The 13,049-nt window shown below is 37.8% G+C and overlaps 1 protein-coding gene and 1 non-coding gene across 7 annotated transcripts in view, besides 1 other annotated feature; both read right to left on the reverse strand.

Moving 5' to 3' along the window:
* The window catches only part of MED13L (mediator complex subunit 13L), a 319,118-nt gene that overhangs the window by 184,054 nt on the left and 122,015 nt on the right, over nucleotides 1–13,049 (reverse strand). The window lies entirely within an intron of this gene.
* Nucleotides 5,931–6,025, reverse strand: MIR620 (microRNA 620). Its single transcript, NR_030351.1, has one exon. It is a non-coding gene; the product is annotated as a microRNA 620 (primary transcript).
* Nucleotides 11,268–11,813: an enhancer, noted in NCBI's record as "NANOG hESC enhancer chr12:116591702-116592247 (GRCh37/hg19 assembly coordinates)". NCBI's record gives its function as "activates a minimal SCP1, AML or CMV promoter by ChIP-STARR-seq in primed H9 embryonic stem cells {active_cell/tissue: H9 hESC(primed)}" and the evidence as "EXISTENCE:reporter gene assay evidence [ECO:0000049][PMID:30033119]".

Below are 13,049 nucleotides of genomic sequence, written 5' to 3' on the forward strand. Positions count from 1 at the left end.
GCAGGCCGATATTGCGCCACAGCACTCCAGCCTGGACGACAAGAGTGAGGCCCAGTCTCCAAAAAATAAAAGTAAAAAAAAAAGTTCACTTTATTTACTACTAAGTTCAAGTATGCACAATTGATGTATGTGTGCATAAAAATAAAGTGACACTTTTACATTACACACAATTTAAAAGCAATGTTAAGTCAAATTTATTAAATTGACCATTATAATATGATGGAATTATACGTTTAAAATTTAAAACTATTCTTACAGTGTAGTTAATTATTAGAACTCCAAGCAACCAAGCTCTTGCTTATATTCAAATCAAACAGGTGAACTCAAAACTGACTTTTGTTTTATCTTATCTACTGACAAGTTTCGTGGGCTCAGGGTCTGCTGGCTTCAGAAAGAATTACAGGTTTGCTCTCGGCCAAATGACTCTATAATCGATGTTGACTGCTTAATTCTGAACTACATCAGTAGCTAACCACTGATGATGAAATGCCCAGATTTGGTTTATTTTCTTTACTGTTTACATACTGTAGAATAAACATTTGGGCAAGAAATACAGATACTAAAGGACCTCAAGAAATTTTCAAAATATAGTACACCTGCCAGGCACAGTGGCTCAGGCCTGTAATCCCAGCACTCAGGGAGGCCGAGGCAGGGCAGGGGTGAATCATTTGAGCCCAGGGGACACAGCAACACCTTGTCTCAAAAAAAAAAAAAAAAGAGGGAAAGTGAGAAAAAGAAAGAATGAATGAATGATTACCAGAGCCACAGAAATTTAGCATGCTCCTGCTTCTTGAAAGTCTACTTAGATCCCAATTCATAATGGGTGTGTCCTGAAGTTTCAATTGTAAGTCAACGATTTGGAATCCAGAAAGTTGTTGTGCTACAGGAACAACATTAAGTACATTAGCTAGGTTCCCGGCTTGTCCACAGCAGCTGATATCACATTAATTTATACTTCCTCTCAGAGCTGACTCATTTCCGTTATTCTCTGGGACTCCCTTCTAAAATGTTTCCATCAAATTTTTCATTAAATGACTTTTGTGGCCTAACCGATATAAACAATGATCCTACTTGCTACATGTCACTATGAAAACAAACTGCAGCGCAAAGCAAGAAAGGAAGAATAATTGAGATTACTTATATCTCTAGAGAAGGATGGACCTCACTAGGTTGTTCATATTCATAGACAGGATATTAAAGTTACAGATCCTAAACCATGAAAAATGAATATACAAAAACTATTTCCAAGAAGAAAATCACAGCAACTTGTACCTTAAAGGTTATGGATTGGCTAAAAGAGACCACACACTGGTTCACCTCCTTTAAATCCCCAATTATTTCACCAATACTACAGAACTTAATAGAAGCCAGGTGATTACCCAGAGCCACAGAACAGGCACACAGGCAGTTTCTCTTTGCTTGGCCTTTCCTTTGCCCCTGTGTTCCATACACAGCACACAAGAAAGGATTCTGACTGAGCTGAGAAATTCCTGCTATTTCACTGCCCCAACAGCTTAACTCACAGCCCTGAAATACTCACACCATTAACTCATGTGATTCCATTTAAAAGAATGTTTCACAAAAACCTTTCCTCATTACTAAATGAAACTCAGCCATCACCGATAAAGTCCACATCCTAATTTTGGATGAGAAGTAAGGGTGGTGCCCAACTACTCCTCAAATTTCCCCCATCTCTTGTCCTTCACTGTCCCAAAGGGCCCAGCTCCCAACAGTTCGACCCTGATAGTGAACTGAGATCCCATTTCTGAAATTCTGGGTGATTCCAAAACTGAGTTTGGTCTGAGAATCTTTGTCCCAAATCTATTTCCTCACAAAAAAATTCCCTAAAGAAAAAGCTTACCCCAAAACATAAAATCTTGGCTCAAAGCATGCTCAATATAAGTTCTGCATGTTTGTGGTTAATCAATGTGGCTAATACAACTAATAGCTGACCTACTGTAGTTTTTACTATGAATTCAGAGTACATTTTCTGAAACTCCAACTACTTTATGCAAACATTTTTAAAGATTAACTGAGATAACACGTAAAGGTGCTTAAAATAGTGTCTCTGGCAGAGAATATGTTCCATAAAAGTGAGTGGGTTTTGTTTTCCCAAAAGGTAAGTCATCTGGGCACTGAATCTGATATGCAATTAGCAACATGAAATAACCTCTCTCTGGCTGCTGTACATTACCGTATCTAAGGAATTTAACTTATCTGCTATCTAATAATCAAAATTTATGCTACAACACCGCTTCAAGTTGCACTTCACTGCATCACTTGTACTGTTTCTGTCCCATGGTTGCTCCACTTAATTCATCCCATACCACTTATAAGGTAATTACGTGTATCTGTGCATCTCACAAAATACGCACATACTCTGTTGTCAGTACACTGACTTCACATTATGATCCTATTTTCTTCATATGGCCATTTAAATAAAACTGGCTTATCCAACATCACCTTCTTCAGAACAACAAATTAATATCTGCCTCATACCAAACAGGGTAGCGAAACTTCCACCTACCATCTATTGTTTGATAAGGCAATGCCAATGTCAACCAAACCAATAATAATCCTAAATGGCAGATGGAAATCCTTAACAAGGAATCCTGATACTCAATCTCTATGCACATCACTACATATCCTTAAGAAAAGGACTCCATGGTGTGCATACAAAGATTTCCTCATCACAGGCTGAAAAGCAACCTAGAACAGGTATTCTGGAACCGAGCCCAGGGGAGGCGGATGCTTGGCCTAGCTCATCTAAAAAGTACCTTCCAGTACTAAAATTCTAGGCTTTCCTGCTTCTATACAGTTGTTAAAATAAATGGCATACAGTTCCTCAGCAGTTGCTTCAAGCGCTTTTTTTTCTTTTCTCTTTGAGACAAGGTCTCACTCTGTCATTCAGGCTGGAGTGCAGTGGTGCGATCATAGCTCACTACAGCCTCAAACTCCTGGGTGCAAGTGATCCTCCCACCTCAGCCTCCAAGGAGCTAGGACTACAGGCACATGCACCACACTCAACTCTATTTATTTATTTATTTATTTATTTATTTATTTATTTATTTATTTTAAATTTTTGTAGAGTCTTGCTAAGTAGCCTTGGCTGGTCTTGAACTCCTGGCCTCAAGCAATTCTCCTGCCTTGGTCTCCCCAAGCGCTGGAACTAAATCTAGGTGACAGCCACTGTGCCTGGCCTCAAGCACATTTTTAGTCTAAGCCTCATGAAGTTTAAAAAAAAATCCCCACACATAGAGGCATGCTTTAATCGTATGTTCCAGGTTCTCTGCAATAAATAAACCAAATAAACCAAATTCTTTTCTATTTGTGACCCCAAAAAGTTTTTAAAATTCACTAGCAAACAGACTTTAAATCAAGCTTGTTGAACCCACAGCCCGCGGGCCGCATGAGGCCCAGAACGGCTTTGACTGCAGCCCAACACAAATTTGTAAACTTTCTTAAAACATTATGAGCTATTTTGAGATTTTTTTGTTTTTGTTGGTTTTTTTGAGATGGAGTCTCGCTCTGTCACCAGGCTGGAATGCAGTGGCGCAATCTCGGTTCACTGCAACCTCCACCTCCTGGGTTCAAGCGATTCTCCTGCCTCAGCCTCCCAAGTAGCTGGGACTACAGGTGTGTGCCACCATGCCCAGCTAATTTTTATGTTTTAGTAGAGATGGGCTTTCACCATGTTGGCCAAGATGGTCTCGATCTCCTGACCTTGTGATCTGCCAGCCTCAGCCTCCCAAAGTGCTGGGATTACAGGCGTGAGCCACCGCACCCAGCTGAGTTTGTTTTTTGTTTTTTCCTTTTTTTTTTTTAAAGCTCATCAGTTATCCTTAGTGTTCGTGTATGTTATATGTGGCCCAAGACAATTCTTCTTTCAGCATGGCCTAGGGAAACCGAAAGATTGGACACCCTGCTTTAAATCTTGATTAAATTCCCTAAATAGCCAACCATGGTGACTCACGCTTGTAATCCCAGCACTTTGGGAGACGAAGGCAGGGGGGACTGCTTGAGGCCAGGAATTCGAGACCAGCCTGGCCAACGTGAGGAAACCCCCATCTCTACTAAAAAACACAAAACTTAGTTGAGCATGGTGGTCCACACCTATAATCCCAGCTTCTTGGGAGGCTGAGGCACAAAAATTGCTTGAACCCAGGAGGCGAAAGTTGCAGTGAGCCAAGATCGCACCACTGCACTCCAGCCTGGGCAACAGAGCAAGGCTCTGTCTCAAAAATAATAATTAAAAAAAAAAGTAAAAAACCAAAAATCTCTAAATAGCCTCAACTCATCATGAAGAGTTTAAGTATACACAAAAAACTACCAAATATTTATCTAGTAAAACAAAAACAACTACTCAAATATTTATGGTGGCCCTACTATGCCTAAGAAGGTACTACTGAGATATAGGAATAATAAATATAGTCCAGGGCCCATTGCCTCAGAGAAGATAACACATATCCATTTAACCAATATTCAACAAACATTTATTATGCAAACTGTGCTTATAAGAGTGGCTAATCCAGTGTACACTGCAGTCAAACTATGAAAAGATAGTCAAGCTTCTTAGCTTTTCCTATTACAAATGACAGGGATACCATGTCCTAAAACTCTGATATCATTTATCATTTCAAATAGTAAAAAAATAAATATTAACACCTGACTTTACTTGTATAATTTGGCAACATTATACTGCATCTAAGAATTTCATATTCTTCATGGTATGGCTATAAATTTCAGTTTAAAACTTACAGAAATAACCAGACAGTTTTATAGTATCAGACTCTTCACATCATAATTTTTATCAGCTGCAACAAAAAGTAAAACAAAACTGTTTTACTGTTACTGTTATCCTTGCCAAATATAACCTCTGTAAAAAGTATGGTGAAATATGTTCATACATATAAACATGACTGCAGGCGACAGAGCAGTCTTTAACTTATAAGCAACCTAAAGGTCATCTTGTATTAACGACTCTGCTAAAGACATCTTGACAGCACGATATGCTAAAGATTTCTTTCCAGGCTTTCAAAGAACCTATCTGTAATATACCAAACTGTAATTTTTCTACCTTACAAGAAGAACGGTTGGGTATTTACACTTTTTACAACATTCATCCTTATATTGTTCAAATATACAGTGAACATGTGCTAATTTCATAATTCTAAAAAAAGCTAATTTAAAAAACTACCCATAATATTATTGAGTAACATGTAATTATCATATATACTGTTAAAAGATGAGGTTTTTTTAACAAAAAAATTAGCCGGGCTTGGTGGCGTGCACCTGTAATCCCAGCTACTTGGGAGGCTTAGGCAGGAGAATCACTTCTCCTGGCCCGGGAGGCAGGAGGTTGCAGTGAGCCAAAATCATGCCACTGCACTCCAGCTTGGGCTACAGAGCAAGACCCCATCTCAAAAAAAAAAAAAAAAAAAAAAAGAGGGGGGCGGGAGTGGAGGGGGGCGGGGGTTCAAGCAGCTAGGACTGATTTGGTATTAAAGTCATTCATTTCCATTCATTCATGTATATAAACATACACATATATACAGACATTTATTTAGTTCTGAAGATTAATAAAATTCAAGTATTTCCTGAATTTCTCACTTAGTGTGCAAATAACTCAACCGTCTCCCCTACAATTATATTTTGCTTTTAAAAAAAGCCAATATTAAATACATTTTTGTGGAACTACACAAAGCCATATATTAAAATTATTTATAATTGTTGATGGTGAACCTTATAAATGGGATTATACTTCTCTCCTACAAAATGAGGAGTGCTACTGCAAGTGGCTCAAAAAGGAAAAAGAGAAAAATTAAGTTTGAAAAACTTTCATGTCAATGACAAAAGTGTTTTATATAGTAACCAGCTAAAGATAAAATCACTGAAAAAGTGATGTCAAGTTGACAATCCATACTAAAAACTTCTTTGCTTGTTTTATTTCTATATCTATCTCCATATATATGGAGATATCTATATATATATATATATATATACGGAGCTAGATATAGATATATATAGATATAAGTAGTTTATCTTGATTTTCTTATTTTGGGAAAGAGGAGCATAAAAGAAAGGAGAAATTATTGGAATTTAGGTTACCTCCTAAGAAAGGAGGCTTTGCTTTAAGAAGATGGGGAATGTAATACTCTATTCGTCTAACCAATCAATAACCACACTTTGAAATCTTTCACTTGTCTTCAACTAGCCATGTAGATCTGTTCCTCAGTATTGCCTTCGATCCACTCTTACCACTTTCTGTCACCTTACTAAAGCATGGCTCTGATCATGTTTTTAAACTCACTAAAAATAGTCTAATGATCTTATAACTGTACTATTTTTGTCCCACCTATTTGTTCAGTTTTCTCTGTATACTTCCTTCTATTTCCTACCCACTAACAACTCATTGTTTGAGATACTTTGATCACATCCGGTATTCATACCTTTGCTCATGCACCGTACCATGTGCCCAGAATAGGCTACCCTGCTCCCATCTCTGCTTATTACTATGTCATGTTTTCCATAAGACTTTCCTCATATCCCTCCAAGTAGACTAACTTCCCTCTTTCCTGACTTAAGGCATTCTTGATTATGTTTATATTCTAGAACTTCTCATATTTTGTCATGTATTATAGTTAGCTATATACAGTTAAGTCTTAGACCCCACTAGATTAATTAAAGGCTGATCAGAAGGAATTGTCTAGAGCTCAGCTGTCATGACCTATTGTTAAATATATTCCCCCAACAACCCTAGAAAGGAATTCTGCATGGTTTAGATAATATGTTTGATTGATTAACCTCATCTTCCATCTGTGAAACATGCTTCCCGCATTTTTCTTTTTTAATTCTCATTTGACAAAGAAGGCTGGCTCTAAAAAGAACAGCTCAGGCTATGCCCAAAAAGTCAAATGATTACTAACAAGCAAGTTACTTAAAAAACAGTATCCGGTATTTGTGAAAGAAGAGTTTTACATTTCACCTAAATGCCAAATCTCCCAATAATATTAAATCAGACCTTAAAGGGTGGGTAACATTTAGAATAAGTAAACAGGGAGATTAAGGAAAGACGCTGATACAGATGACCTAAGCAGAAGAAACAACATGAATAAAAACACAGAAAATAAGAGTTAGGCATTGAGAATGGTTTGGCTAGAGATGAGTAAGTGGACATTAAGTTCCTTTCATATGCCCCTATAGTGCCTGCAGCTTAGCTGGCAATAAAAAATGTTTAATAAATGAATGATAAAATAACATATTTTTAAAGGGCTGAGGAAGAAATGGAAGACAGAAAAAGAAAGGTGTGATATTTCTTTCACTTTGCCCTCTGATAGTTACATTTTTTTAATGTATCCATTTTTAATGAATGAATAAATTCATTTCTCTGGAAGTGGATCAAATACAAAATTAGACCCAAGTATACACATTTAATAAATGCACACATGGACAGATTTAGTTGTCAAAAGAATGGCTCTAAATGCAAGAATCTCTGTAAAGACCTAATTGGAATCAGAGCTGACGCTGAGATCGCTGTGATACCAGCATGGCCCTAAGCCAAATCTCTTTTCTGGCTGACCATGCAGGCTGTGTCACTGGACATTAACTTCACACAACATGTAACAAACCACCAAGTGTCTAGTTCTCTTGTGTCCGCCTAAGGCCAGAGCCTACCTTCCCTTACAGCAGTGCCAGCTTATCAACGTACTCAAATTTTATTACAACAAAGTCTTGGAAAGCAAATCCAAGAAGGCAAAAAATAAGTCATTTCTACTCTTCTTGTTACATCTAGATCTTGTCATAATTTAGTAAACTAAACTTCTATAATCAATGAGGTGGGAAAGACTCAGTGCTCCAGGCTGGCATTCTAAACCTCCTACAACCGGGTCTGAGCTTCCATTCTGCTCTCGTGTTCCACTACTCCTCCACTGCACCTCTGCCACTCAACTTCGCTAAGTGTTCCTATACAAGCTCCTCTGACACTTAGGATAACCTATGTTTCTCTGACCTCCCACAGAACTGAGGCACACCATTCTCACATCTGGCATTTCCTCATTCTTATTATTATCTGTTTGTACAGCTCTAAGCCAGAAAATAGTGAAAACTTATTTTTATTTATGGACAACCTAGAATTACGGAAAGATACAAGCTTTGAAAGTAGTTTAGTCTAGATTTGAAACCCACATATGGTACTTCAGGGGTGTGTGGCCTTAGGTAGGTCGTTTAATTTTCTCAATCTAAGTTTCTTCTTTTGTAAATGCAACCTATAATATATCGCTACCAGATGTTCTGAGAACTAGAGCTATGGTACGTAAAGCACCTAGCACTACACTAGGCCCACAGTAGGGACTCGTGTGGATGCCCCTACTACTGTTCAACTTTGTCTCTGACTCCAACCTACTCCCCAGAGGTCTATCACAACATCTTATTGTTAAAAAATGGGAAAACTTCAGAGGACCAGAAGATTAAGAGGGGGGAAATGAGAAAACTACAGAGAATAAACTAGTCCCATAAATTTCATCTTAACTAGGCTTTTAGCAAGCAAAATCTCTTGGGGGTGGGGAGGGGAGATATTTAGTTATGAATTTCTGTTATTGAAAATAAATGTGTATAAGAGGTCTTCATAAGGACGTCAATTTTCATATATAATTGGTTGAGATCAAAGACATCTTAAGTTACTATAGAAATGTCAGAACTGTTAAATGCTTTAAGTGAAAATGTTTCTTCACATCCTACCTTCAAATTGCCTCCTCAATGAAAAAGAAAATTATTTTAAAAGGTATCACGAAGAAACTCCATTAGCAAGGTGTTAGGACAGAGATTTAACAATAAACGCATACAATAAAACTCCTTTGTTACAGTGATTTTAGAATAAAGCACAGTACAAACTATATTACATTTGGCCTTTAGAAAAATGCAGATGGGAAGGATCCTACACAGTGGTTGAAACTGAGCAATAAGAAGTCACATTACAATGGACCTAAAGGCAGGAATAAATCTACAGCAAGTTTTGGAAAATCAAAATTAGCCATAATGTGCAAAAATAAAATGATGCCATCTGTCTATAGCGGCTATGGGAACCATACAGACTAATGAGTGCCTTATTTTTAACCTTCCTAAGGGTGAAAGTCACCAAGTGAAAGAACAAAGACAGAGGGGCAAAAGGTAAAGTAGGTCTTTTAGAAATACATTTCCTAAATCTAAGGACATTCAGAGACATCGACACTCAACTTCTACTCCCTATCCTTTCTCACCTTTATATTTCTGTATGTTTTCTCTGGTTTGTCCAAGATTCTCAAATACAAATTTCTGAATGCCAAATCCTACTTATCTGGACCCCTCAAATACAACCTCTTCCTTTTCCACTATACATTCAATGAAAAGTGTTCCCTCTCCCTTCATAATCTCCTAAGCATTTTCACTGATCCTGTCTTTTAGTATTTGCAGGCTCTATCCTACATGGAAATATATTTGTTTCATACAGGTTCTCTCTCCCCTGCTGGATTATAAACTCCTTGTGGATAGGATCTCCGTATAAAGCCCCCAAAAGGCTGTGAAAAAGTAAATACTCAGTAAATGCCTGCCAAATCAAAGAGGAATAAAAAGTAGTTTTTGTAAAGTCTGAAATTATTTTCAGCATAATTTTATTATACCATAATTATATTACTGTTTCCATTTCTAAATAAACTTTAACAGCAGCCAATGGTTCATATCCTGCTAACAAGAGGTAATAAGATATTGTTTGTGGTTTTTTGCTTTGCTTGGACATACGTGATTAAAGCGTCAAGTTTTGTCTGCAGCTAAAGTTTCTTCAACTTCAAGAATGTGTCTACCATGCAAAGAATGCAAGCCACAGTCTGGTACATTTCATATCATCCTTGGGGGATTTCCTACTCCCTTGCGGCTTGCCACCTTCCCTGCACTGTCAGAAGACCAGAGGGGCATAGAGGTAAAGATTTGGAATCACAGGACTCAGTCTTTACAAAAACCCAATGGCGTGGGGGGGAAAGCAACCAAGGAGAGAAGGACTGTTCAACATTGGAAAACAAATTTAGGAGAAATAATTAAATGAAATGTGAGTATTGCAGTATGATTAATAAGAAAATGCCCTTATTTTTTAAAAATGCATGCTAAAATACGATAGGTTATGGTTTATGAGACTTGCTTTAAAACTTTCAAGAAAAAGTAGACAAAGTAAATATTATAAAATATTAACTAGTATTAAATACAGGTGAAATGTAAACAGGAGTTCAGTATAATATTCTATCTAGATTTTCATATATCTGACATTTTTCATAATAGAAGTTAAAAAGAGCAGGAAAAAAAAAAAATTCCGAGTCTGTGAGATCTGGAGTCCAGTCCCAGGTAGAACACGCCCAGGTAGGACATTTAAGAGCAGAGATAAGTTACTAAACCTCTCCGAGCCTTGTTCTGCATCCAATGACAGTAATGTGAGGCTCAGAATTCTCCAATAATTAAATTAGTGTGTAACATAATTAGGGCAATGACATCACATGTAACTATACAATAAATGTTAGCTATTATTACTATCCACATTAGTGCTGGAAGGTGGAATGACCTGGTTAAAGAGTCTCTGTCACTATACACAGAACTTACTGAGGGGAGGGGAGTGTTTAACTGGAAGAAAAGATTGCTCACCTTTCTCAGTCTATTTGCCAAGAGCTTATGGTGGCAGCTAAAAGCCAAAATGTGGAACAAAAGAAGGAAGCCAGAGTGCCACCTCCATTAGTTAGAGCAGGCAGAGAGCACATTCTGATAGCTACCACAAGTCTCTATCCCACCACCACAAATAATTGCAGAGAAGGGAGCAGGAAGCAATCAATTTCTGTAATAGCAATAACCAGATATATGTCATTAACAACAAAAATCAGTTTTAACCACATACAATAAAGAATTAAAGTTAAGTGTTGTGCCCCCTTAAAGGCCAAAAGCAAGTTAAATTCACTCTCCTGGAAGAAATAATAGCAGTATTCCTATGGCAACTCCTCACAGGAAGTAAATGATTCCTTTTGAAAGACACAGACTAGACACAAATATATACACACTTGCTTCTATTTTAACCCATTCCCCCTTACTGCAGGAAATTTTGAAACCAAACAGAAAAATCTTTCTAACTTTAATATGCAAATAGTATATCTGGTTTAATGCTCCCTTTGTGCTGAGAATGTATTTTCCCATAAGCACACGGAAGGCTTATTGACACCATGGCCTCACAAGTTCTTCTCATCCCCAAACTGACAACATTCAGATAACTCCTTCATTAAAAACAGAAATGGCCTTAATGCGTATACACAAATCAATGTCGGTGAAAGGAAAACTACTCAATAGTAGGTATAACAACAACAAAAATCACAGCTGCCCGGAGCACTGCTCTTGTAGCAATAGCAGAAATAGTGGTAACATTAACAACAGTTTATACTTACTGAATTTTCTATGAGTGAAATGCTGTGCTAACTGATTTCCATGTGTTAACTCATGTAATCCTCACACTCAATGAAGCATTGTGACTCTTAATTCCCCACTTTGCAAATGAAGAAAATGAAATGTGGTGGTTTGCCAAAACAAAGTCAAACAGCAAGTACCCAGGAGAAAGAGAGGATTTTAACCCATGCCTGACTCCAAAAGCCCGTCCTATTAATTACTGAACAACACTGCTTCTCTTGAATGGATCCTCACTCACACCTGCAATAAGTCTGGAGTTGGAACTCTTGTTACCAAGAGCAATTAGTGGCACTAACAATGAAAACATAGATTCAACTTCCCACCACCCAATAAATAATTAGGTTATTTCTAGTAAGCATACTTTTAAGAAAGGAAAACTCTACTTTTTTAAAGAAATAATTCCATGCAAACGATTTGTTTTTCCCATGTTGTGAGATCAAACTCACCTTCTCCAGGAAACTCTCTGTTCAGAATGACATTCTCTGAGGGTTCCAGATAATTAAGTATTACTTAAGAATGAAAAATTTGTGGCAGTAGTGCTTACGAGACACATTAGTAACTCAATAAAATGTCAAGTACCAACATAGCATAAAAGACACATATTCTTAACTTTTACTTTTTAAAATCTATGAAAAGTTAGGTATTAAATCCAACCACAGAAAATAAGTATTGAATTTTTAAAGCAATATTTTTCGATAAAGATATTCTTTTTATTTAATTGTGTGTTGATGGTGGTGGTGTTTTTGTTTTTGAAAAAGAGTCTCACTCTGTCACCCAGGCTGGAATGCAGCTGGCACAATCTCGGCTCACTGCAACCTCTGCCTCCCAGGTTTAAGCAATTCTCCTACCTCAGCCTCCCAAGCAGCTGGGACTTCAGGCACACAACACTACACCTGGCTAATTTCTGTATTTTTAGTAGAGATGAGGTTTCACCATGTTGGCCAGGCTGGTCTCAAACTCTTGACCTCAAGTGATCCACCTGCCTTGACCTCCGTAAGTGTTGGGATTACAGGCGTGAGCCACCACCACCGGCCAAGATATTCTCTTATGGCCAGGCACAGGGGCTCATGCCTGTAATCACAGCACTTTGGGAGGCCAAGGCGGGAGGATTACTTGAGTCCAGGAGTTCAAGATCAGCCTAGGCAACACAGAGAAACCGTCTCTACAAAAAATTTAAAAATTAGCCAGGTGTGGGTGGTACACACCCAAAGTCCCAGCTACTTGGGAAACTGAGGTGGGAGGATTGCTTGAGCCCAGAGGTTCCAGACTGCAGTGAGCCATGATCATGTCACTGCACTCCAACCTGAGTGACAGAGCAAGACTCTGTCTCAAAAAACGACGTTCTCTTTAATGTTCTGAATACTTCCAAATGCCAAATTTCTTTTAAATCAATTAAATGTAACGATGAAAGGTCAACAGTCTTGACAGAGCAAACATACCACAGTTCGGCCACACAATAGGTATTTCACGTTTTCTCATGAAAACGTTTACAACACCAAAATAATACCTTTTGATCCAAGCCTATTAGCGCTGTGGGCAGTGCTAGAGTTCATTTCACCGCTGAAGTTACATTTTGCCACACAGTC

This window comes from Homo sapiens, chromosome 12 (assembly GCF_000001405.40).
Source record: "Homo sapiens chromosome 12, GRCh38.p14 Primary Assembly".
Taxonomy (NCBI): Eukaryota; Metazoa; Chordata; class Mammalia; order Primates; family Hominidae; genus Homo; species Homo sapiens.